Genomic DNA, 23,986 nt, shown 5'->3' with positions numbered 1-23,986 from the left:
CTAGAAATAGAACTGTCATTTGGTCCAGCAATCCCACTACTGGGTAACTACCCAAAGGAAAATAAACTATTATTTCAAAAAGATACCCACCTTCTATGCTTACCATAAAACTACTCTCAATAGCACATATGTCAAACTGAGTGTCTGCCAACCGATGATTTTATAAAAGAATATAGCATGTATGCACAATTCAATACTAGTCAGCCACAATAAGGAATGAAACTGTGTCTTTTGCAGCAAGATGCATAGAAGTGGGGGACAATATAATTAGTGAACTAACTCACAAACAGAATGTCACATGTCACACATTATTACTTGTAAGTGGGAGGTAAACAGCGTGTACACAAGGATTTGTAGAGAGAAATTACACACATTGGAGACTTACAAGGATGGGCGGGCAGAAGGTGGGAGCATGATGAGTCATTACATAACAGGCACAATATAAAATAATTAAGAATTGACCAATGATCTTAAAATTAAAATGTAGAATATGATCAATAAATGAACTTGATATTAGTTGACCTCATTAAATTTAAAAACTTTTTCTACTCAAATGACTGTAAGAAAATGAATGCCCGGTTACAGATGAGAAACTGTTTGCGAGTCAAATAACCACCAATGTAACTATAATAAGAAACTTCAGAACTCAACTGTGAATAAAAAAGAAACAACTGATGGATAAATTAGGCAAGGGTTTCTACAGACATTTCGTCAAAGAAGATGTGCAGATGACACTGAAGCATATAAACAGGATCTCAACAGGATTTTCCGTTAGAGAAATTCAAATCAAGCCCGCAAAGAGACACCACTGTACACTTTTTAAAATGGCTGAAATTAAGAAGAAATACAGATAACATCAATGCTGGTGAGCATACCAGGTTGCTAGAGGCTAAAACATTGCTAACAGGAATGCAAAATGAAACAGATACTCAGGAAAATAATTTTTAGTTTTCTCTAAAATCAAACATACCCTTAACACCTGAATATTTGCATCAGAGAAAAACAATCTTACATTCACGCATAACTTCTATTCAAATATTCAAGATATCGTGTGTATGTGTGTTAGAAAGTAAAAATAACATAAATGTCTCAAAATTTGAATAGGTGAAGAACTAGGAAGCATCTATAAATTGAATACCACCAGCAATAAAAAAATAACAAGTGACCGATACATAAACTATTACAGGTGAACTCCAGACATTGTGCTAAGTGAGAGAAGCCAGTCTCAAAGATCAAAGGGACACAGCTGTAAGCACCACGGTCATCCTCAGGTGTCAGTGGTTTGGGCTGGACTTTCTGTGTCTCTTTCCTGACCAGACCCAGATATTGAGCTCCACCACTTGCAGATGGAAAATCCTATTTTCAACCATGCAGTGAGGTTTGAACTGCTTCACAGACTGAACGAAACAAACACGGGCTCCTTTGAACAGCGTCCGGCATTTGTTCCAACCACAAGAGAACGTCCCTCAGCTCTCCCACCTCCTCGGTTCTCTCCTGCAAGCCAGCAGCCCTGCAGTTTAGCCTGCATCTCCCGTGCATCCACCCATCTCCCTCCAAGCACCTTCCCCCACACCCTCCACTGTTTCTGAGAGCACAGGCAGGCTTTGAACTTTTCCGCATTCTGTTGTTATTGAAGTTAGGATGTTTAGGACCAACTTAAGGATCATATTTTATGACTGAATTCCAGTGCCCCTTCTCTCCTGGGACAGAGTGCATAACCAAGTTTCTGCAGGTGGAGACGAAGTTGAGCTTTTTTCTTCCTCAGCCTAGGAGATGAGCGCTAATTGGAGGGTTGGGCAGAAGCTTCCCACCATCCCAGCACTTTGGTTCTGGTGGGGCGGAATCGGTGCCATAGGGCAGAGCTAGAAACCGCGGACTGAATGTTCCCAGTGGCACTGGACCCAGGGCAGAGCCTCCATCCACGAGTGGGGCTCTATGGAAGAAGTGAGTCTCTGGCTCTCAGTAGCTCTCGTCCAGCACTGAACCTCAGCATCATGTGCTGTGTGCAGGGTCAGAGGGCCAACGTACTGGCCCCTGGGAAAGCGTTTCCTCTGGTGGGAGTTGGTAGAAGGTGTCCTGTCTTCTTGGCTGCATCTGTCCGCAGTGGAGTTTACATCATGCTGAGCTGGGATGTGGAAGGAAGGAAGAGCATCTTAGATCAAATATGATGACTGGCCTTACTGAGTTTTCTAGATTTTCCTGAATAAATGTTTCTTCACTCACTGTGTGCTGTTAGAGTCTTTCCAAACCTGTAATTTCCCAAAATAATTTTCACTGGTCTCATGAGGGCATGGATTCATTGAGCCCCTCATGCTGTCAAAGAGAAATAGAACTGTTTTTTTTTTTCACTTCATAGCGAACATCCATGGGTTATCAAATAATGGGCTGGCTTTTCTTCCAACACTTTACAGACACCATCAATTTTCTTCTTGCTTATAAGGTTTTAACCAGAAGAATGCTGTCATGGTCTTTTCTGTTCTTTTGGAAGGAATGCCCCCTCTACTCACCTCCACTTGTCTGCCTGTATTTCTATTTGTCTTTGGTTTTCAACAATTTTAATAAGATTTACCTAAATGTGTGTGGGGGGAGCATGGGGTGTTATTCTGCTGTTCTGTGTTCTCTGAGATGCATGGATTCACCATTTACTCTGTCTCCATTTTTGTGAAAACAATTAGAAAAAAAGTCAGTATGAGCCCAGAAACAAGCCTCCCTGAAGTGGGCACAGGACCACCTGGGGGCGCTCAGGACCCACTGAACACAAGAGCCAGCCCCAGGGCAGGTGCAGATGCGGGTTAAGTTCTGGTTTCCTGTCAACCCTGTGGCTTCCTCTCCATAAAACAGTTTCCTTTGTGGCATATCTCTGGATTCCTTATCCTGTTCTTCCTGTGAAGTCTCTGAAGAAGAAACATTTGTCGTAACAAGAGAAAAACTTTCTCACATGCACCAAAGGCAGAGTCACCTACAGTCACTTACTCCTGTTTCTCAATGTCAATAAGTTACCAATGCTTCTGAAGTTAATCAGCTAAATCTATAAAAGGTGCGGTGTTTAACTCAGCATTACAGCCCAGCTCAACAGAACTCCAAAGGTCAGCCAGCAGCAGCCAGGAAAAAGTGCATGCTGGGCATTGGGGCAGAGGGAGTTACCATCCAGTGCAAGTAGCCTTATAATTAGGTGAACTTCGGAATTTAATCTTCAGTTGTGTTAAATAAAAAAAAAAAACACAATCTACAATTTAGGAAAGTGAGAGTTTATTTTTATCAAGGGTTACAGCCATCCCATATCCTGGAAAGCATAGCTCTTGGTAAAGACGAGAGAAAGGCACTCCCAGGAAGAAGGGGTTGGGCAGAAGCTTTATGCTGAAGGGTTTGGCTAAACAGACATAATCAACAGGTTACAGGAGGGGCTATAGATGTTCATGGAGGTGGTCCTGACACATGCATACTGAACAAACATGTCTGTAACATATGACCCCTGTTCACTTACCAGTGGAGCCTTAGCATTTAAATTCATTCCAGTGAGGCCCTATGTGCAAACAGCACAAGCAGAGACACAAAGGCACTCAGTGTGCAGCTTCTGTAAACGGCCAGAGCCAGGCCATGGTCAGTGGTCTTGGATCAGGAGAAAGTTCCTGATATCACTCTAGTGTTCAATCAAAGCTGGGGTTATGGTTTGCGGAACAGGGGGTCAGTTCATCAGGGGGTGGGCTGCAATTGTCTTCATAGTGCTTGTCTCAGTGCCGGTGCTTACTGAGCCACTAGAGAAAAAGGTTTAATTGAGCTTCTTTAAAATCAACATTTTGAATGATTTATCAGACATTTCAAATATGTCATGTTGTTTAGATTCTATTGCTGGAGAGTTAAGGTGATATTTGGGGTTTTGTGACTCTGTTTTTTCATACTTCCTGAATTGCTTATCTGTTTGCTTTTCATTAGCTAAACTATCGCTTCTTCTTATTTTTTAATTCATTCTGATTTTGATGAATATTTAATTCCCTTTAGAATGTGAATATAATGTACATTGTGTGGGTATTTTGATTTTGGTTCTTGGTTTACTTAGTGGCAAAGACTCTGTAAGAGTTCCTTGTCTATAGATAGCCATTATTTAGTGGCTTTCTGAAATGGTGGTTTTAGTACCAAAGTACTGGACTTGTGAGTAGGCTCACTGCCCGCTGCAGGTCCTAGATAGTGGAGGCCTCAGGAACTGTTTCTCATTTGGAATGCCTTTGTTTCAGCAGATTTTGTGTTGGGTTGTTAAGTTCACCCTCCACATTAGTAGATGTCTTACAGATTAGAGCTGACTCTGGTAGAAGCAGTTGAGTACATGCTTGATATCTGTGCACAGGGAGAAGCTCTCTGTTGCCTCAGGCGATGGACTGGTCTATGAAATGCACAGTGACCTGAGTTCCCTGCTCAGCCCCTGAGAGGTGGACCAAGCTGGACACACATGAGCCACCGAGCCTGGCAAGCAAAAGCGCCAGCCTTGATGGAAATGGCGAGCTGAGGGGCATCTACTCAGTGTGGTTTCTTTTGTTATTAAGAGCTTTAGTGTGGTGGCTTTTTCAAATTCCCGTTGTAGTGGTAATATACTGGGTATGTGAGCAGGCCCGTGGTCTTTTGCGGGGTTGGAATCACCGAAGTAATGAGAAGCTAATCTCATTTTCAACTGCTGTACACTGGTGGTATTGAGTTTGTATGAGGTCATGCAGTTTGAACGTCAGGCCAGTAGGTGGTGCTCGCAGGTAAGAGCCGGCTATGGTGGCAGCAGAAGGGTTTATGCTTTACCGGTGGTTAAAGTGGGAAACTTGTCGTGTTCCAGATCTTAGAGAAAAGACTTTTAGTTATTTCTCATTCAACCTGATACTACCTGAAAGTCTCTCGAATGTAACTTTTATTTTGTCGCGATGGGTTCTTTCTATACCCATTTTTTATGGTTTTTTTATGAAAGGATGTTGTTTCATCAAATGCGTTTTCAGCATCAATTGAAAAAAATTATATGTTGATTAAAGATCAAAATGTATAACCTAACACTATAAAACCTCTGGATAATAACCTAGGAAACAGAATTTAGGAGGTAAGAACTGACAAAGGTTTTATAATGAAAATGCTAGAAGTAGTTGCAACAAAATTGAAAATTGACAAATGGGACCTAAGTAAATTAAAGAGCTTCTGTACAGCAAAAGATACTATCAACAGAGAAAACAGGCAACCTACAGAATGGGAAATAAAATATTTGCAGCCTATACATCTGACAAAGGTCCGATACTTAGTATATACATGGAAATTTAACAAACATTCAAGAAATAAAAAGTGACCAAAGGACATGAAAAGACACTTCAAAAAAGACCTACATGTGGCCAACAAGCATAGGAAAAAGTGCTGAATATCACTATCATTAGAGAAATACATATCAAAACCTCAATGAGGTACCGTCTCACATCAGTCAGGATGGCTAATCTTAAAAAAAAAATAACAGATTTTTAAGGTTACAGAAAAAAGGGGAAATTTATACACTTCTGGCGGGAATATAAATGAGTTCAACCATTGTGGAAAGCAGTGTGGTGATCCCTCCAATAACCTAAAACAGAAGTTTCATTTGACCCAACAATCCTACAACTGGACATATACCTAAAGGAATATAAACATGTAGGTTCACTGCAGCACTATCCACAATAGCATAGACATGGAATTTACCTAAATCCCCATCACTGGCAGAATGATAGAGAAAAATGTGGTACATACAACCATGGAATACTATGCAGCTAAGGAAAGAATGAAACTATGTCCTTTGTAGGAACATGATGGAACTGGCAGTCAATACTCTTAGAAAACTAATTCAGGAACAGAAAACCAGATATTATATATTCTCCCTTATTTGTTGGAGATAAATAAAAGCAAATATTCTTCCAGGGCCTGAGTCTTCCTTATTCAACAAGTCATTCTAAATTAAGTGTTCAGCAAGTTGCTGATACTCATCTAAATATTCTATTTCATCTGGGCCACTTACATCACTCAAAAAGCAATGAGAGCTATATTTCTAAGGGGGGTTCTAGGATAATAAATACCTGAATAGTGAGAATATGAAGGATATGGAAACTGGGCCACTTATATCACTCAAAAAGGAATGAGAGCTATATTTATAAGGGGGGTTCTAGGATAATAAATACCTGAATAGTGAGAATATGAAGGATATGGAAACTGGGCCACTTATATCACTCAAAAAGCAAGGAGAGCTATATTTCTAAGTGGGGTTCTAGGATAATAAATATCTGAATAGTGAGAATATGAAGGATATGGATGGTTTTTTTTTAATTCAATGGGCACATAACTGTGGGAGACACTATATTCCTATGAAGAAGGTATTCAGACTTCAGAGATAAGTAAAGTTTCCTACGTTGTGTTTGTGACTTGGAAGCAGTGGATTGAAGAGTGTGATAGGTGCCCAGACCAAGCGGAACAGAAATCAACATGTAAAGATGATGATCTATGGATATGATCTAAAACCATGAAAATACTTCAAATAATTCTATTTAATGCAGTTTGAAATAAAACACAAACTTATTCAAAATACAAATTACTTGGTAATTATTTTGGGAGCTATGAGTTCATCAAGAAACTCAAATTCCTATTTCTACTTCAACCCCTGATTCCTACTGTCAATGGGAGGGAAGTCTCAGAACCAATCACACATCAGACGGCAAATCTGTCAACCAAGAGTCTTTCCCTTGAAGGCCTGGGAGGTCAGGACCCTCAGGAAAGTGCTGGGGACTCTGTCTTGGGAGTGTCCAGCAGATCTCAGAACTCTCCATGGGTCCTGCTGGACACTCATGTAGGGTAACGAGTGGCCACCTTTTCAGTGTTACCAGTGAGCTCTGAGTGTTCCTAATGGGACCAGGATGGGTCTAGGTGCCTGCTCAATGTCAGAGACAGCAATGGTCCCACAAAAAACCCAGGTAATCTTTAGGCCAATAAAATGTGGGTTCACAGTGAGGAGTGCATCCTGGGGTTGGGGTTTGTTCTGCAGCGGGAAGAGCGCTGTGCACAGAAAGCTTAGAAATGGGGCAAGAGATGCTTTTCCTCAGGCAGGATTTAGGGCTTGGTCTCTCAGCATCCCACACTTGTACAGCTGATGTGGCATCTGTGTTTTCTTTCTCATCGTAGATCAGGCTTTGAGCTGTGAAATACCCTGCCTCATGCATATGCAAATAACCTGAGGTCTTCTGAGATAAATATAGATATATTGGTGCCCTGAGAGCATCACATAACAACCACATTCCTCCTCTAAAGAAGCCCCTGGGAGCACAGCTCATCACCATGGACTGGACCTGGAGGTTCCTCTTTGTGGTGGCAGCAGCTACAGGTAAGGGGCTTCCTAGTCCTAAGGCTGAGGAAGGGATCCTGGTTTAGTTAAAGAGGATTTTATTCACCCCTGTGTCCTCTCCACAGGTGTCCAGTCCCAGGTGCAGCTGGTGCAGTCTGGGGCTGAGGTGAAGAAGCCTGGGTCCTCGGTGAAGGTCTCCTGCAAGGCTTCTGGAGGCACCTTCAGCAGCTATGCTATCAGCTGGGTGCGACAGGCCCCTGGACAAGGGCTTGAGTGGATGGGAGGGATCATCCCTATCTTTGGTACAGCAAACTACGCACAGAAGTTCCAGGGCAGAGTCACGATTACCGCGGACGAATCCACGAGCACAGCCTACATGGAGCTGAGCAGCCTGAGATCTGAGGACACGGCCGTGTATTACTGTGCGAGAGACACAGTGTGAAAACCCACATCCTGAGAGTGTCAGAAACCCTGAGGGAGAAGGCAGCTGTGCCGGGCTGAGGAGATGACAGGGTTTATTAGGTTTAAGGCTGTTTACAAAATGGGTTATATATTTGAGAAAAAAAGAACAGTAGAAACAAGTACATACTCCTCTAATTTTAAGATAATTATTCCATTCAAGAGTCGTAATATAAGCCAGATTCACAGAGTGGAAAAGGCCACACTCTATAAAGTTGATACAAACATTCCATGAAGGTGCTACTGTGAACAAGTTTTCAAATTGGATGAATACATGATTTGGAGCAAGGTTATTTGATCATGTGGTGAGACTAAGAATGATTCTTAAAAAGTGCCAAAAGTTTCCTTCAAATGTTTCTGTCACTCCTTATCATAAAGTTTATTTTACAGCAGTTTTAGGATTACAAAGAAATTGCACAGGAGGCGTGAGAATTCCCATGACTCCCTGCCCTACACAGGCACAGCCTCCTCCACTACGACCATCCTGCACCGCAGTCACAAATCAGTTACAATGGAGGAATCTCCAAGGACGCTTGGTTCTTTCTTTTTCTGGTGATCTCCTAATATAACAAGCCTAAGTATCTCAAGATTCCACGGTTTTTTCAGTGTTTTCTAGAACTGATATTAGTCAGAGGGAAAGTGGGTAAGGCTATTACTATTTGAACTCTTTCTTCCAAAATCCACAAAATATATATTAATTTAGAGCTTATCTTACTTCTGGTTTACAATGCTCCTTCCCAGACAGTAAGATTTTTTTAAGCTTTTAGAGGCCAGTTCATGTCTCTAAAAGACCAGAAAGTTCTGGGGAATCCCATAATGAACATCCTTTCATGAGAATTGGAGACCCTGGCAATGAGAGACTCCATGTATAATGCCCTAGAGTTGGATTAGATGCTCTGTAAGCTCTTGGGTGGTGAGTCTGAGTAAGGGGGTTTGTGCAGCAAACGCAAACACATGCATGGGACCCAGGTAGGAACAAAAGCTTCCCTCTACAAAGGGAGTGTGCACCTGAAGCAGCCCTCACAGAGGTGGGCACTGCTCACCCTTGATGAGTGCACATTAGCCAGAGGCATGATCATGATTGGTCTTGCAGACAAAGAGCACCACTGAGGTCATAGGTTATGAAAATGTTTGTCATCCTCCAGCTGAGCAAGTCCATCTGCTTGTTTGTGGGTGTCAACTCCATGGAGGGTGCACTTTGGGAGATGACAAGATGCACACAAACCTCCTCTCACTAATTATCCACTACCACACACTCAAAACAACCCTGTGCTCCAGAAAGGGATACGTGCCTGCCGAAACAAACAGAGCTTAAGGGTTTTATTACCTGGTAAATATACTGCCCAAAGCCACACGTTTCAGGAAGATTAGCTCAGAAATGTTCACCAATTGACTGAAGGGCAGTGGCGGGTGAGGTGATGGGACAGCCTCAGGGCTGCACATGAGGAGGGCTCCCTCCCCCATGCAGGCTTTTCTCCAGGAGCTTCACCAGGAACTCAAGGGGGATCAGGGAGAATTCTGAGAACACCCTACTGTGGAGCTGCCTAGAGAGGAAGAATAAATGATGAAAAATAAAACTCTGAGTAACGTATGGGCATTTGTTAATGAAAACTGTTTTTCTGAAAGCTTGTGAAGGTCTTGAAATGCCCCTGAGTAGCTGAGGGCAAATATTTAAACCCTCCTTCCACAGGGAGTTCAAGCAGGCTGGATGTGTCCTTCTATGGATGATCTTCCCCAACCCCTTCCTCTTCCCAGATCATCCCTGGCTCTCTGTGTAAACAGTTCTCATCAGTGTAATGTGATTGATGAAGTGAGGTCTTCAATTTCCTCATCTTCTTGGTGGTCATGTTATTTTTTTTCATCTGAGGGTTAAAAACTCACCTGCATGCAGCACGTGACAGCCTAAAATCTCTTGTGGACAAAACAGTAACAAAGGCACCCACGAGGGTTGAGCACCCGTGTTGCTGACAGCGACAACCAGGGGTCAACGTCCTCTCCAAAATCCTGTGTCAGAGCATCACTGGAATGATTTCATTAGCAACTTCCCAGGAGAATCAGCTTAAAAAATACTTGTCCCATTTTCCATGCAGATATAACCCATCCCTTTTCCTGAAGAAACAGAGCTCAATACTAAATACACTGAATGTTGTTTTTGCTGGTTTTGTAAGTTTGTGACTTTATCACTTTCTAATTTCTGAGTTAGGTGGACCACTCTACATATTTCTCTCATGGGTGTGACCAGCCTTCTGGATGTCAAATATAACTGACTTTGTTCGTGTAAATGTCAACACAAGCTCTTCATGGTTTCGGTGCTCACTGACTACTCTAAACTTACACATGTGTTTCTTTATTAGCTTTGTTTTCTGGTGTCTCTACTTGGCTTATTCATCATGTCCATTTTGTGTTATTTCTACAGGTAATGATTGTTATTTTTAAAATTTACTGTTGCTTACTTTAATTAAATAAGAAGGCAATAGCTTAGAATAGAAAACAAGGTAAAGTAAAAGTACATGCAGTAATATTTAATATAAGTAAGCAGGCAGCTGAAAGCAAGGGAAATCTACTCTGCTGTGTAAAAGGGTATGGAGACCTCATAGTATGATGATCTTCTGCAGTTTAATCCATACTGCTACATAAGTGACAGCATCCACTCTGTTTATATCAGAGCTTTCCCTAATATGTATAATGAAGACTGAGCCCAGGTACCTCCAACCAGACTGACCAGCACCTTTTACCAAGTGCCTGAACTGACAGCAATAGAGATCACGTTTGTCTAAAAAAAAACTCACACTGTAAGGATACCCACCAGTCATATGGAGACAATTTGAAAAAATTAAAGCCCAAGCCTGATAGGTAGTAATTTATACTTAGAAGAATTAACTTTTATCTCCACATTTTTTTAATCATAGAGAAACTACTAGAGTCACTGTCCAAGTTACTGAATATCTTATTCCCTAGAATGAGACATTGCACAATGTGTTCTGACACGAGGGAATGTAGCTGTAGTTAAGGGACAGGAGATGTGATCACGGGAACATGAGTCTGCGATCCAGCAGTTCTTGCTCCTTCACATTTGCCCAGAAACAAAGACCCCAGCAGAACAATGGAAGCATTGACTTAGGTCTCCACAGTCTGATGTGAGATAAACAGCAGGTAGTTTATGCCTCTGTTTTATAGCAGGAAATTTAATCTCTAAAGAAGGGCCATTTTGAGGATAATACTATTCTCCAGGATGCTTACATGCCCCCAAACAGAGAGCACTACAGTGCCCCCTGGCCAGGAGCTACAACACCTGGGTCTGGAAACCACTGGACAGAAATATGAGTTTCTCTTACCACATGTATGATGGAAATTTGAAAAATGTTTCCTTCCTTCCCCATAATCATAGGCTGTGATGGACTGGAGGTCCCAGTACATAAAAAAACTGTGTCTGCATTGGATACAGAATTAGTCTCATAAAATAATTGTGCTACGGTGGTGCCCACACTGTTGGACCAGCGGACCGAGAAAGTGTTGTAAGAGCTGCAGTGTCTACTGATTCCTATCATATTTGGGGCTACATTCACATCTATCAAGGGAAAGAGAGATAAGAAAATCTCTCTAGGCCGGGCGCGGTGGCTCACGCCTGTAATCCCAGCACTTTGTGGGGCCAAGGTGGGCGGATCACGAGGTCAGGAGATCCGGACCATCCTGGCCAACATGGTGAAACCCCGTCTCTCCTAAAAATACAAAAAATTAGCTGGGCATGGTGGTGGGCGCCTGTAGTCCCAGCTACTCAGGAGACTGAGGCAGGAGAATGGCGTGAACCCGGCAGGCGGAGCTTGCAGTGAGCCGAGATTGTGCCACTTCAACTCCAGCCTGGGGGACAGAGCTAGACTCCATAAAAAAAGAAAGAAAGGAAGAAAGAAAGAAAGAAAGAAAGAAAGAAAGAAAGAAAGAAAGAAAGAAAGAAAGAAAGGAGAGAGAAAGAGAGAGAGAGAAAGAAAGAAAGAAAGAAGGAAGAAAGAAGGAAGGAAGAAGGAAGGAAGGAAAGAAAGAAAGAAGAAAGAAAGAAGGAAGGAAGGAAGGAAGAAGGAAGGAAGGAAGGAAAGAAAGAAAGAAAGAGAAAGAAAGAAAGAAGGAAGGAAGGAAGAAGGAAGGAAGTAAGGAAAGAAAGAAAGAAAAAGAAAGAAAGAAAGAAAAAGAAAAGAAAGAAAGAGAGAGAAAGAAAATCTGGCCTAGATAGAGTCTACATATTTATTTTCATTTCTTCAAATGAGGTAAAAAAATCGCATCAACTAAAATGGGGACGATGATGAAGTGATCAAGGACAACAGCCACTCAGTGTTTCAGGTGTGTTTTAACCCAAAGTCACACAACGTGTGAGAACCTGAACTCCGGAGCCAGGGGCATCTCTGAGGAGAATGTGGAAGGTGGGCGGGAGGAAACAGTGATTCATGTCTAGGGAAATTTCAGGGCTGCCTGCTCTAGGGGAAAGGAAAGCCTGAGCCTCTCCCACAGTGTGCTCTGTTAAAATTGTTGGGTGACTTATTGTATTCTTCGACACAAATATTTTTGTTTAGTCCTCTCTTAAATTTTTTTATCTCTATTAAAATTCTCACTTTGTTCTTGCATGCTGCCACTAGCTTACTAAACATGTTTCTAATATTTACTTCAAATTTTCTGCCAGAACATCAATATGTTTTATATTCATTGATGCCAGATTCTGGACCTCTATGTTGTCTGTCTGTTTGGACCATGTTCCCGTGTTTCTTCATTTTCCTTGACGGTCTTTCTTGCTATCTGTTCATCATAACAAACAGCTCTTTGCTCATCATAACAAAGAGCCACACTCTTCAAAGACTAGGGTCATAGAGACCACCCTCACCAATCACCCCAGTCAATAAGTGTGGATCTCTCAAAAATTCATAATAACTTCATAATATTCAAACTGCTGCCTCTGTTCTTAGTGGCCCCCAGGTTTAGAGAACATTGGGTTGTGCCAGGACTCCCAAGTAGGAGAGGTAGAAACTATTTACTCAAGCAGACTCTTGAAAAGGTGTACCATTAGACACAGTTTTATTATTGAGTTATGATTCATCAAAATAATGTTAGTTCAAGTTTCTTTCAACCAGTCATCTAACATTGAAATGTTATAATTTCTTACTTGGATCTCTCTGGGGTTTATCTTTGGGATATTTAGGTAAAATTACAAACTAGTATAAAGCTGCCTACTTGACAAAATTATCTGCTGCAGAATTTTCATCTTCCATGTATCTGTTTTTGCACCTAAATCTAAGTTTTTATTAGTCAAGTATCCAGAATATAGAAATATGTCTTAAAGTTCCTTCACTTTTTTTTAAGTTTATGGGGTTTCCAGAAGAGGTGAGAACGTTCTTTATATATAAAATACCTGATTCCACATTGCTGGATAGTTTCTTCTTTAATTTATCTCCTCCTCTCACATTATACTATATTAAGCAAGGAGAAATCAAAACACACCATCCACACTTTGCTAGAAATCCCCAAAGCTAAATTTTAAGTATCACTTACTAATTCTAATTTTACCCATTGTAACTTAATTAACATAAAATCTATAACAAGGTTACACATACTTTCCCGTTCTAATACCATGTTCGTGACAGAAACAAAGCAGGTGTCTTCTCTGCAATGTGGTCATCTGAGGTCTGAGATGAGGGGTCACACAGGTATTTTATAATATTTAAGGGTTTGGACAACAGTAGTGATAACAATTCTGAACAGCACTGGCTCCTAATTGAAAGGTTATAGGTAAATTTAATGCTGCAATTTTATATTAACACCTTGTCCGAATGAAGCTCAGAGGAAGATGCCACATCCCAGGTCACACAGTGAGGAGGAATGGAGCTGCGCTCTGCTCTCCACACCACCTACAAATCCCAGGCCCCAGCCCAGGTTCCACTGGCGCACGGCACCTAGAGCACAGTTCCCAGGGGATGATCTCAGGGCACCTGCTTCCTCGGGCAGGGCGCTGCCTTCTCTCAATTGTGCACTTGCTCCTCCTGCAGGTTCTGTAGTGAGCACTTGTATTGTCGTGATTTATACATGTTCTCTCCCCTAATATGGAAAAAAATATTTATTAAATTTTCAACTCATTTTCTCTGATGCACACTGCATTAGCAGAAAGGAATAAATCACATTTCCTATCCTCCCATAAAGCCAAAGATTCCCGAAGACAGACTGATGTGATGTACTCATAGGTGGATCTCTGCCCCTCAGGGGAGGCCTTGGTCTTCAAGTTTCAGTAATTCTAGGAAGCGAAGGACACCTACATCTCCTGCTCCCTGCTCTGTAGCTCACCTGAGAACAGCTTTCTCATTGGAATGTCTTGTGTTTAAGGAATAAGAGTCCATGTTTCAGGTTCGGGAGCCCAGGTGCACCTACTGGATGCAGCCCAGGATTGGAGACACTTTCCAGAAGACAACATCACCTGAGACATGACCAGTCCCACTGTTTCACTTTCACAATTTCAACTTCCTCAGAAGAAAATTAAAATTGCTGAGACTTGTTCATAAGTGTTCTGCCATGTCCTTACTCTGTTTTCTTGCCTGTTCATTTATGTCATACCAGGTGCCTGTTATACGTAATAAGATCAGAATTCTGCCTCCAGTAACACATCAATGGAGACCTTTGATTGTACTTTTGGTTTATGCACTGACACATAGATTATGATGTTCATCACATTCATTTTTATGTCAAAGGAAATCTGCATAATCTGAATGCCAATACTTTTTGGAATCTGCTAAGTAACTGAAATTGAAAAAAAAATACCCACTCAAGAACCTGGATAGACAGCCATGTCCAGAATGGCAGTTGACACTTGTTTAACTGGAAGAGAATCTACAGAAGCCACAAGTTGTTGAGGGCACTTACATGATAAGCACTATAGTTGTCTTAAAGACAGATGTGGACTCAGTAAATGTGACTGTTCCAGAGGGTCTTATACTTCTATGTTTTATGGACTTTCTCACCAGAAACCTCCAGATTCTAAAAAATACTATCCAAATACATTTCCTATTTGTCAGATCGGAGAAGATTAATTACTGAAAAATATTACGGGAGACTTTTTCAAAAGCTTCTACATGGAAGGACTTTTCGAGAACCTTGTCCTATGTAAAGGAAGACAATTCTCCCATTCCAGATTTCTCTCCCATTCTTCCATTATTATACACATGAGCAAAGTTAGCCAATAGGGGTAAGATGTAAGTAAATAGTCCAGGGGCACTGAAACCACAAAAGGGAGTAATGGCCAAAGTAGCTTTTCCCCTGGAGATTCCTGGTCAAAGTCACAGCCCAGAAGAGGAAGCCGATCGCGTCTCTAGGTTTCCATTGTCAAAACAGGCAGTGCTTGCCTGCACTGCACAATCCATTCTAACCAGTGTGATAGCTCTGGATTAAAGATGGAAGTGTGGCAATGCACAGACTCTATGTGAGAAGAACACTGGAAAACTAAAGGACAAAGGCAGAGAGTAGGACAAGGACGACAAAGCAATCTGAAGCCTCTGACATCACCATTTTTAAGATCAAGGTCTTGGAAACTCCCTCATTGACCTTTAGATCTCTAGGAGAAAAAAGTCAGATACCTGGGCCTAGTGTCAGTGTAGGAGGAATTTTCTATAGGCTAGGCATTAGGAAGAAGGGAAAATTCTTCCTTATTAGGAAGTTATTGTTATAGTGTTATAGTGTTATTGGAATAGTGGATATGGAGCGGGCTTTCATCTCGATCAATCTGCACCTGCTGGTATTTTCCAATGCTACATTCACCTGCAAGAGCCCAATGAAGAAAGAAGGCACTCCCAAATCTTTTGCAAGTTTTTGTATTCACTGTGGGTCCACTGCTTAAGTGCATCTGGAACTTCAGAGAAGGGGCTCTGTCCTGTGTCATAGAACCCTTGCTTTGAGTCTCATGGCAGAGTTCAATCTGTTTAGTAAAGTTGATCAATTATTTCAAGAGATGGTGTCACCAGCATATGGTGTCACTGAGGGAGTATTCTACACTAGCACACAGCCATTTCACGCTGGGCTAGAGAAGCTGGGGGGAAATGCTTTGTGAGCCCCAACAAGAACCTCCTTGCAAGGCAAGGGCTGGGCGGGAGGGGGCACTCAGGAGCCATTCAGCACGGGTTCCAGCCCTGCAGCTGGTGCACAGGAGGCTGCTGAGAAGGTTTCCTCTCAGGGGCTGGGTCTTCCTTTGGGAGAAAAAAGCTAAAATTCAATAAGTTGCTGGTGTGCCCTTAAATATTCTATCACATCTGAGCTGTTCCCACAATTCAAGGCGATGAGAACTATCCTTATAAATATTCTATCACATCTGAGCTGCTCCCACAATTCAAGACCATGAGAACTATCTTTATAAATATTCTATCACATCTGAGCTGCTCCCACAATTCAAGGCGATGAGAACTATCTTTTTAAATATTCTATCACATCTGAGCTGCTCCCAAAATTCAAGGCAATGGGAACTATCTTTTTAAATATTCTATCACATCTGAGCTGTTCCCACAATTCAAGACCATGAGAACTATCTTTTTAAATATTCTATCACATCTGAGCTGCTCCCACAATTCAAGGCGATGAGAACTATCTTTTTAAATATTCTATCACATCTGAGCTGTTCCCACAATTCAAGACCATGAGAACTATCTTTTTAAATATTCTATCACATCTGAGCTGCTCCCACAATTCAAGATCATGAGAACTATCTTTTTAAATATTCTATCACATCTGAGCTGCTCCCACAATTCAAGGCGATGAGAACTATCTTTTTAAATATTCTATCACATCTGAGCTGCTCCCACAATTCAAGACCATGAGAACTATCTTTATAAATATTCTATCACATCTGAGCTGCTCCCACAATTCAAGGCGATGAGAACTATCTTTTTAAATATTCTATCACATCTGAGCTGCTCCCACAATTCAAGGCGATGAGGACTATCTTTTTAAATATTCTATCACATCTGAGCTGCTCCCACAATTCAAGGAATGAGAACTATCTTTTTAAATATTCTATCACATCTGAGCTGCTCCCACAATTCAAGACAAGGAGAACTATCTTTTTAAATATTCTATCACATCTGAGCTGCTCCCACAATTCAAGACAAGGAGAACTATCTTTTTAAATATTCTATCACATCTGAGCTGCTCCCACAATTCAAGGCAATGAGAACTATCTTTTTAAATATTCTATCACATCTGAGCTGCTCCCACAATTCAAGACAAGGAGAACTATCTTTTTAAATATTCTATCACATCTGAGCTGCTCCCACAATTCAAGACCAGGAGAACTATCTTTTTAAATATTCTATCACATCTGAGCTGCTCCCACAATTCAAGACCAGGAGAACTATCTTTTTAAATATTCTATCACATCTGAGCTGCTCCCACAATTCAAGGCAATGAGAACTATCTCTTTAAATATTCTATCACATCTGAGCTGCTCCCACAATTCAAGACAAGGAGAACTATCTTTTTAAATATTCTATCACATCTGAGCTGCTCCCACAATTCAAGGCGATGAGAACTATCTTTATAAATATTCTATCACATCTGAGCTGCTCCCACAATTCAAGGCGATGAGAACTATCTTTTTAAATATTCTATCACATCTGAGCTGCTCCCACAATTCAAGGCGATGAGAACTATCTTTTTAAATATTCTATCACATCTGAGCTGCTCCCACAATTCAAGGCGATGAGAACTATCTTTTTAAATATTCTATCACATCTGAGCTGCTCCCACAATTCAAGACAAGGAGAACTATCTTTTTAAATATTCTATCACATCTGAGCTGCTCCCACAATTCAAGACCAGGAGAACTATCTTTTTAAATATTCTGTCACATCTGAGCTGCTCCCACAATTCAAGGCGATGAGAACTATCTTTTTAAATATTCTATCACATCTGAGCTGCTCCCACAATTCAAGACAAGGAGAACTATCTTTTTAAAGTCGGCTTCTAAGATTATAAATACCTTAATAGTGAGAATATGAAGAATAGGGATGGTCTTACTAATTCAATGCAGAGAGAATTATGGGAGTCACTATATTTCTATGAATAATAATTTCAGATTTCAGGCTGGGGCTGGTGGCTCATGCCTGTAATGCCAGCACTTTGCGAGGCTGAGGTGAGGGGGTCACGAGGTCAGGAGCTGGAGACCATCCTGGCTAACACCATGAAATCCTGTCTCTATTCAAAATACAAAAAATTAGCCAGGTGGGGTGGCATGAACCTGTAGTCCCAGCTACTCGGGAGGCTGAGGCAGGAGATTTAATCCTACAAGACCTACAGCCTCAGACAATGCTGCTGGCAGTGATCGTGGGAAGCAGAGTTTGCAGTGAGCTGAGATTGCGCCACTGCACTCCAGCTTGGGCAACAAAGCGAGATTCCATCTCCAAAAAAAAAATTCAGATTTCAGTGTTAAGTAAAGTTGCCTACATTGTGTGAGTGACAGGGCAGTGGTGGATCCGAGAGTGTGGATCTGAGAGTGAGTCAGAAATCAGCATGTAAAGATGAGGATCTATGCACATGAACTGAAAGTATGTAAACAGTTCATGAAATTCTAATAAATCCAGTAGGAAATAAAACCCAAACTTATCCAAACACAAATTCCCTTGAAATTATTATGGGAGCATGAGTTCATAAAGAACTCCTAACTCCTGTTTCAACTTCTGAATCCTAGTGTCCATGACATAAGAAAATCATCTCCAATTATGCATCACAGGGCAAATCTGTAAACTAAGAGTTTTTCTGTTGACGATCCTGAGGAATCAGGACACCAAGAAGGTTCTGGAGAAACTGTCTCAGGAGCGCCCCAGGGATCTCAGAAGAACGTGCTGGCCACTCACGTGGGACATCAGCGTCACTTGCTCAGAGTCATCAGTGAGCTGTGCTGGTGTCTGACGGGTCCAGCATAGGGCCAAGGCACCTGCTCTGTGTCATGGACCGAGATGGTCCCCAGAATGATCCAAGTGGTCTCTGTGCTAATCTAATGTAGTTTCACAGTGAGGGGCCGTTCTGAGGGGGCTTCTTCTTCAGTGAAAGGACCTCTGTCCACAAATATTCCTAAATGGACAGGGGCATGCATTTCCTCAAGCAGGATTAGGGCTTGGACCATCAGCATCTCACTCTTGCAAGGCTGATGTGTCATTTGTCTTCCCTTTCTTATCATGGATCAGGCTTTGAGCTATGAAATGCCCTGTCTCATGAATATGTAAATACCTGAGATCCACTGAGGTAAATATGGTCTGTGCCCTGAGAGCGTCACCCAACAATCACATCCCGCCTCTAGAGAATCCTCCGAGAGCATGGCTCCTCACCATGGACAGGACCTAGAGCTAATCTTCCTGGTGGCAGCAGCTACAGGTAAGGTGCTCCCAAGTCCCAGTGATGAGAAGGGGATTGAGTACAGTCAAGGAGGCTTTCATCCACTCCTGTGTCCCACCCTCCAATGGGTGTCTGCTTCCAGGTGCAGCTGGGGCAGTCTGAGGCTGAGGTGAAGAAGCCTGGGGCCTCAGTGAAGGTCTCCTGCAAGGCTTCCGGATACACCTTCACCTACTGCTCCTTGCACTGGTTGCAACAGGCCCCTGGACAAGGGCTTGAAAGGATGAGATGGATCACACTTTACAATGGTAACATCAACTATGCAAAGAAGTTCCAGAGCAGAGTCACCATTACCAGGGACATGTCCCTGAGGACAGCCTACATAGAGCTGAGCAGCCTGAGATCTGAGGACTCGGCTGTGTATTACTGGGCAAGATACACGGTGCGAGAACCCACATCCTGAGAGAGTCAGGAACCCCAGGGAGGAGGCAGCTGTGCTGGCATGGAGGAGATGACAAAGATTATTAGATTGAAGACTTTCTTAGAAAATAGCATTAAGTCATTTACAAAAAGGAACAATATAAATGTGTATTTGAGAAATTGTAATTATTTGAGAGATTTCTTATGCAACATTTATTCTGTAAGCAAATTCTAGGGATTGGAGAATTAATCAAATTAATAAAGCTGACATAGAAATTCCTCTGAAGGTATCTTTGTAAACATCAATTTCTGAATCAGTGTTGTAAATGTTTTGGAACAGAGACGCAAGATCACATTTTAACTCTACTTTTGTCTCTATAAAAAATGCCAAAAAGAGTCTCATTTTGACCATGTACCTCTTTGAATTCCCACCATCAATGAATGATTGTTCTTGGGTTTCCACATTATATTACCATTTATCATTATGAGAATTGTGTGTTTTAACCATTATAATAGGTGAGTAATGGTATCTAATTTTTGCTTAAATGCACATGACCCTAATAAAATTCATATTTAACAATTTTCATATAATTTTTGGTTAGATGCCTCTCCTGATATTTGGTTCATTTTCAATAGCACTGTTTTCTTTTGATTAGTTGTAAGTTTACTTGCATATTGATTATAAAAGTTAATTAACAAATTAAAAGAATTCATTTAACAAATATGTGACTTGGAAGTTGCAGGGGTTTGTCCTGCACACCCTGACACAATGACGAATGAATAAAGTGCACTGACACAAAGATATTCTGCTTTGCCAGCTCGACTGAGCATCTGGGCCACTTAGTCACAGCCACCGCCTCGATCAGTCAGGGAGACTTACATTTATTCAGTAAAGATTAATTGACAAAGGCCGTGAGTAAACACCACTAGAAGGTAATTGACATTGTGGACCTCTTGAGTGGAAAGCAATTAAGCACCCGCGGTAGATCAAAGGTTAGTCTTAGGAACACATGAGTAAACAAGCTAGTTAGATAAGCTCCTCACATTCCTTTGTTTCTACTCTACTTTATGTAACTAAAGGTAAGGGGACTAGGCTGCCTTCAGCCAGATTTATTACCAAAGTTATGCAAACTCACAGGCCTTCCAAGAGGGTTTGTGGCTATTAGAACTAAAATGTTTCCCACCAGCCTGACTGGACCACCACATCTCCCCATTTTTTGTTTTCTACATCAGGTCTTTTGGATTGGAGCGTGCAGATATGCGCAGCAACATGTCTGTCAGGTGTGGCAGTCATTGCTCTTATTCTGGCTTTGCATCCTAGAATTAGCAAATAACATAAAACAATCATGAGTAGAATTAGCAACATTCTTTTCCAGTCAGAGTGACCCCCAGGAGCGGGGTCTAACCAGGAGAGATGATCTCACACACCCTTCCATATGACTGTTTGTTGGGGGTGTAGATCTATTGCGTGAAGAGATTCTAAAATTTTAGTTTGAACTTACTTTACGTCTGCTGTTAAATTGTCATGAAAGGTTCCCCAGAGGTATTGTTTTACCTCATCCTAACTATGTATTGATAGATTCCGTGGTAGAGAAGTGATACAGATATGTTCATGTTCCCAGTCACAGTTTAAATGCTGTCAGAATGCCACTGCATCTTGTCGCTCCCTGACATATTCTAAAGCAGCCTCAAGGGCTAGCAGACGTGTGATAATTTTTTGATCTATACCTTGCTGTAAGAGAAGTTCATTAGACACATTTTTGGCCAGATTATCTAAAAAGGCAGCAGTTTACACTAAGTCAATAATACATGCAACAGCAACACTAGCTGTTGCCAGGATGACTATGGCTGAGACTATAAAGGCCATAAGTGTAACTATGAATCTTTTGTGTCTGACCTGGGACAGGGCACGTTCTAAGGTTGCAAGGGCATAGGAACCTTGCCAATTGCATGCCAGATTGACTGGTAAGAATGCCTCAGATTTTCTCTTTAATACCATGGCGCTAGTAATTTTTAAGTTAGATATACTGTGATTAGTGATACATGAGGCAAACCAAGCCTGTCCCTGCATCCAGGTCACAAACGTGGAGTTTTGAGGTGTAATGGAAATGTTAGTTCCCATAAGGAAATCGTATGGATGGGTAGTGCAAATTAGGCACTGATCAGTGTGATTATGAATAAAGCTTATAGCATAGTTGCAACGGGAAATATGGTATGTCCCATGCCAGGTGTTAAGGGAGGTGCTAAGATGTCCCAGACACCATAAAGTACCTTGGGGCGGCATGGACTTTACTTGGGGCCTTGGATGTGCCATCCCCCCATTGGCACAAATTATAGGGGAAAAGACATGGCTATGAAACTGATTGATGCTCTGATGGATGAAGGTATTAGTAAGGCTGCCCTGCAATCAGCCGTTGGGTCTCCAGTCTAAGATGTTATAATTACCTCACTGGAGGCTATGGGCTCGTCTCCCATGACAGACCTCCCAGCTAAAGTCGAACCGATTACTGTCCCAGCTTTGTTCCTTAGCACAGGAAGGAATGTTTGGGAAAGAAGCAGCGGCATGGATTGCATTGCTCAGTTTGAGGCTATCTGCAGCTAAGAATGTTAAGGCATTTCCTTTGCTATGATGTAACCATACTTGTTTTTGGGCAGGTACACAGTAAGGGTTAGAGTCTTTATAACTTACACACACTGGGAGGATAATAGTGGATTGACATATAGTGTTATCTGCCACCTTAGTCCAATGTGTGCCATTATTGAGGGACCCCACGTGGGGTAAATCTATCCCTCCTAGCCAAGCAGTCACGTTACTATAGGCTGGGAAGGGAGTGTCTTCCCATTTGGCAGGGTGAAAGAAAGGTGTGTCTAAGATAGAGGCCCAATAGAGTGTAGCAGGTACAGGTTGCAGACAAAGTGAGAGCATAAAAAGGATTAATACCCTACATGAGTTGCAATGTACAACAGAAAGCATAGCACCAAACACATTATCTGGAGTAAATGGTGTCTGCATTTGGAGCAGGATTCGTTCAGCCTCCTGAGTTGTCTTTTTCAGTATCCCCCAGGTAATGTCTGGGGATTGTGTTGTTCACAGAAGCTGCATCGTCCGGGGCTGTAGGTCTTGTAGGGTTAACTCCTTCATTTCTGGTACTGGGTTGGGTCCTAGCAATGTCCTGGTATGGTTTGATGCGTCGTGCTGGAACCCAAAGAGGACCCGAGGGGGTGTGGATACAAGCATACCCTCTTCCCCACATTAATAATTCACTTGGACCACACCATTCATTACTGTTTACATCTTTCCATAAAACTGCAGGTTTCATGTATTGGGAAATTTTAGCAAAGTGCTTTTCTACAGCGGATTCAAATTTGTCTTCTAAATTAAAAAAAAATAAGGCTTGTGCCAAAAGTGTTGCAGGGTCTGTACCCATACTCCCACGTTTTTGTTTTTTGTGCATATTTTAAGGGTGGAGTTGGCACGTTCCACTATTGCTTGTCCTTGGGGGTTATATGGGATACCTGTGGAATGTCGTATATTCCACATGTGAAAAAATTGTTGAAATTGTGAGCTGGCATTACCTGGACAATTATCGGTTCTAATTTTTGTGGGTTGTTCCATAAATGCAAAAGATAAAAGAAGATGTTTAATGACATATCGAGTAGACTCTCCAGCCAGAGTATGTGCACTAATTAAATGAGTGTTGATATCAAAGGATACATGTACCTATCTAAGTTTTCCAAATTCAGGGATGTGTGTAACATCTGTTTGACACAACAGATTAGGTTCTAGGGTTAATACCTGTTGAAGGAAGAGACGTACCTGTGAGCTGGCGATCTGGGCATTGTAAGATAATTTGTTTAGCCAGTCTCTGTGTAAGTTGGAATTGTTTAGATAAGTTTTTCCAATTTTGGTGGAAAAATTGGTGCAATTGGGTGGCTTGGTCAAGCAGTGATATCATAACTTGAAGGTCGGCTTGATTATTGTCATAACCTAATGGACCACGCAGTGAGCTGTGGGCTGGAATGTGTGTAATAAAAATAGGATGTGTACTTTGATTTAGCAATTGCTGAAATCAGAGAAAAAGAGTCCACAGGGCTGGCTCCAGAGTTGACTTAATTAGGGCTGTAAAAGTTCTCTAGACCCAATATTAAGGACTCAACTTTAGCTTTCTGAGTGCTAGTAAACCCAGATTGAGTGAATGAATTGTGTGGTGTCCACCAGACTGCTGCTTTTCCATGTTTACCAGATCTATCAGTAAACAGTGCTAAAGCATTAAATATGGGGGAGTAAACTATTTTTGTAGGTAACACGTTAACTAGGCCTTTTGGGAATGATGAAAATGGGTAAATTCTAAGGGCTGTTAGTAGAATATTACCCATAAAATGAATACTCTTGTAGCCAGGAAACTTTTTTCTACTAGGGAGCAAAGCTTGCTTTTAATTGCTCCCTAA

At 41.6% G+C, this 23,986-nt stretch overlaps 1 gene segment (V, D, J or C) and 1 further gene; both read left to right on the top strand.

Annotated features, from left to right (window-relative positions):
* The window catches only part of IGH (immunoglobulin heavy locus), a 1,293,408-nt gene that overhangs the window by 110,003 nt on the left and 1,159,419 nt on the right, over window positions 1-23,986 (top strand).
* On the top strand, window positions 7,312-7,750 carry IGHV1-69D (immunoglobulin heavy variable 1-69D). The segment is given in 2 exon segments: window positions 7,312-7,357; window positions 7,444-7,750. Coding segments are annotated over 2 exon segments (353 nt in total).

This window comes from Homo sapiens, chromosome 14 (assembly GCF_000001405.40).
Source record: "Homo sapiens chromosome 14, GRCh38.p14 Primary Assembly".
NCBI lineage: Eukaryota > Metazoa > Chordata > Mammalia > Primates > Hominidae > Homo > Homo sapiens.
The sequence above is the reverse complement of the archived record's forward strand: the minus strand, read 5'-3'. Positions and strand labels throughout refer to the sequence as shown.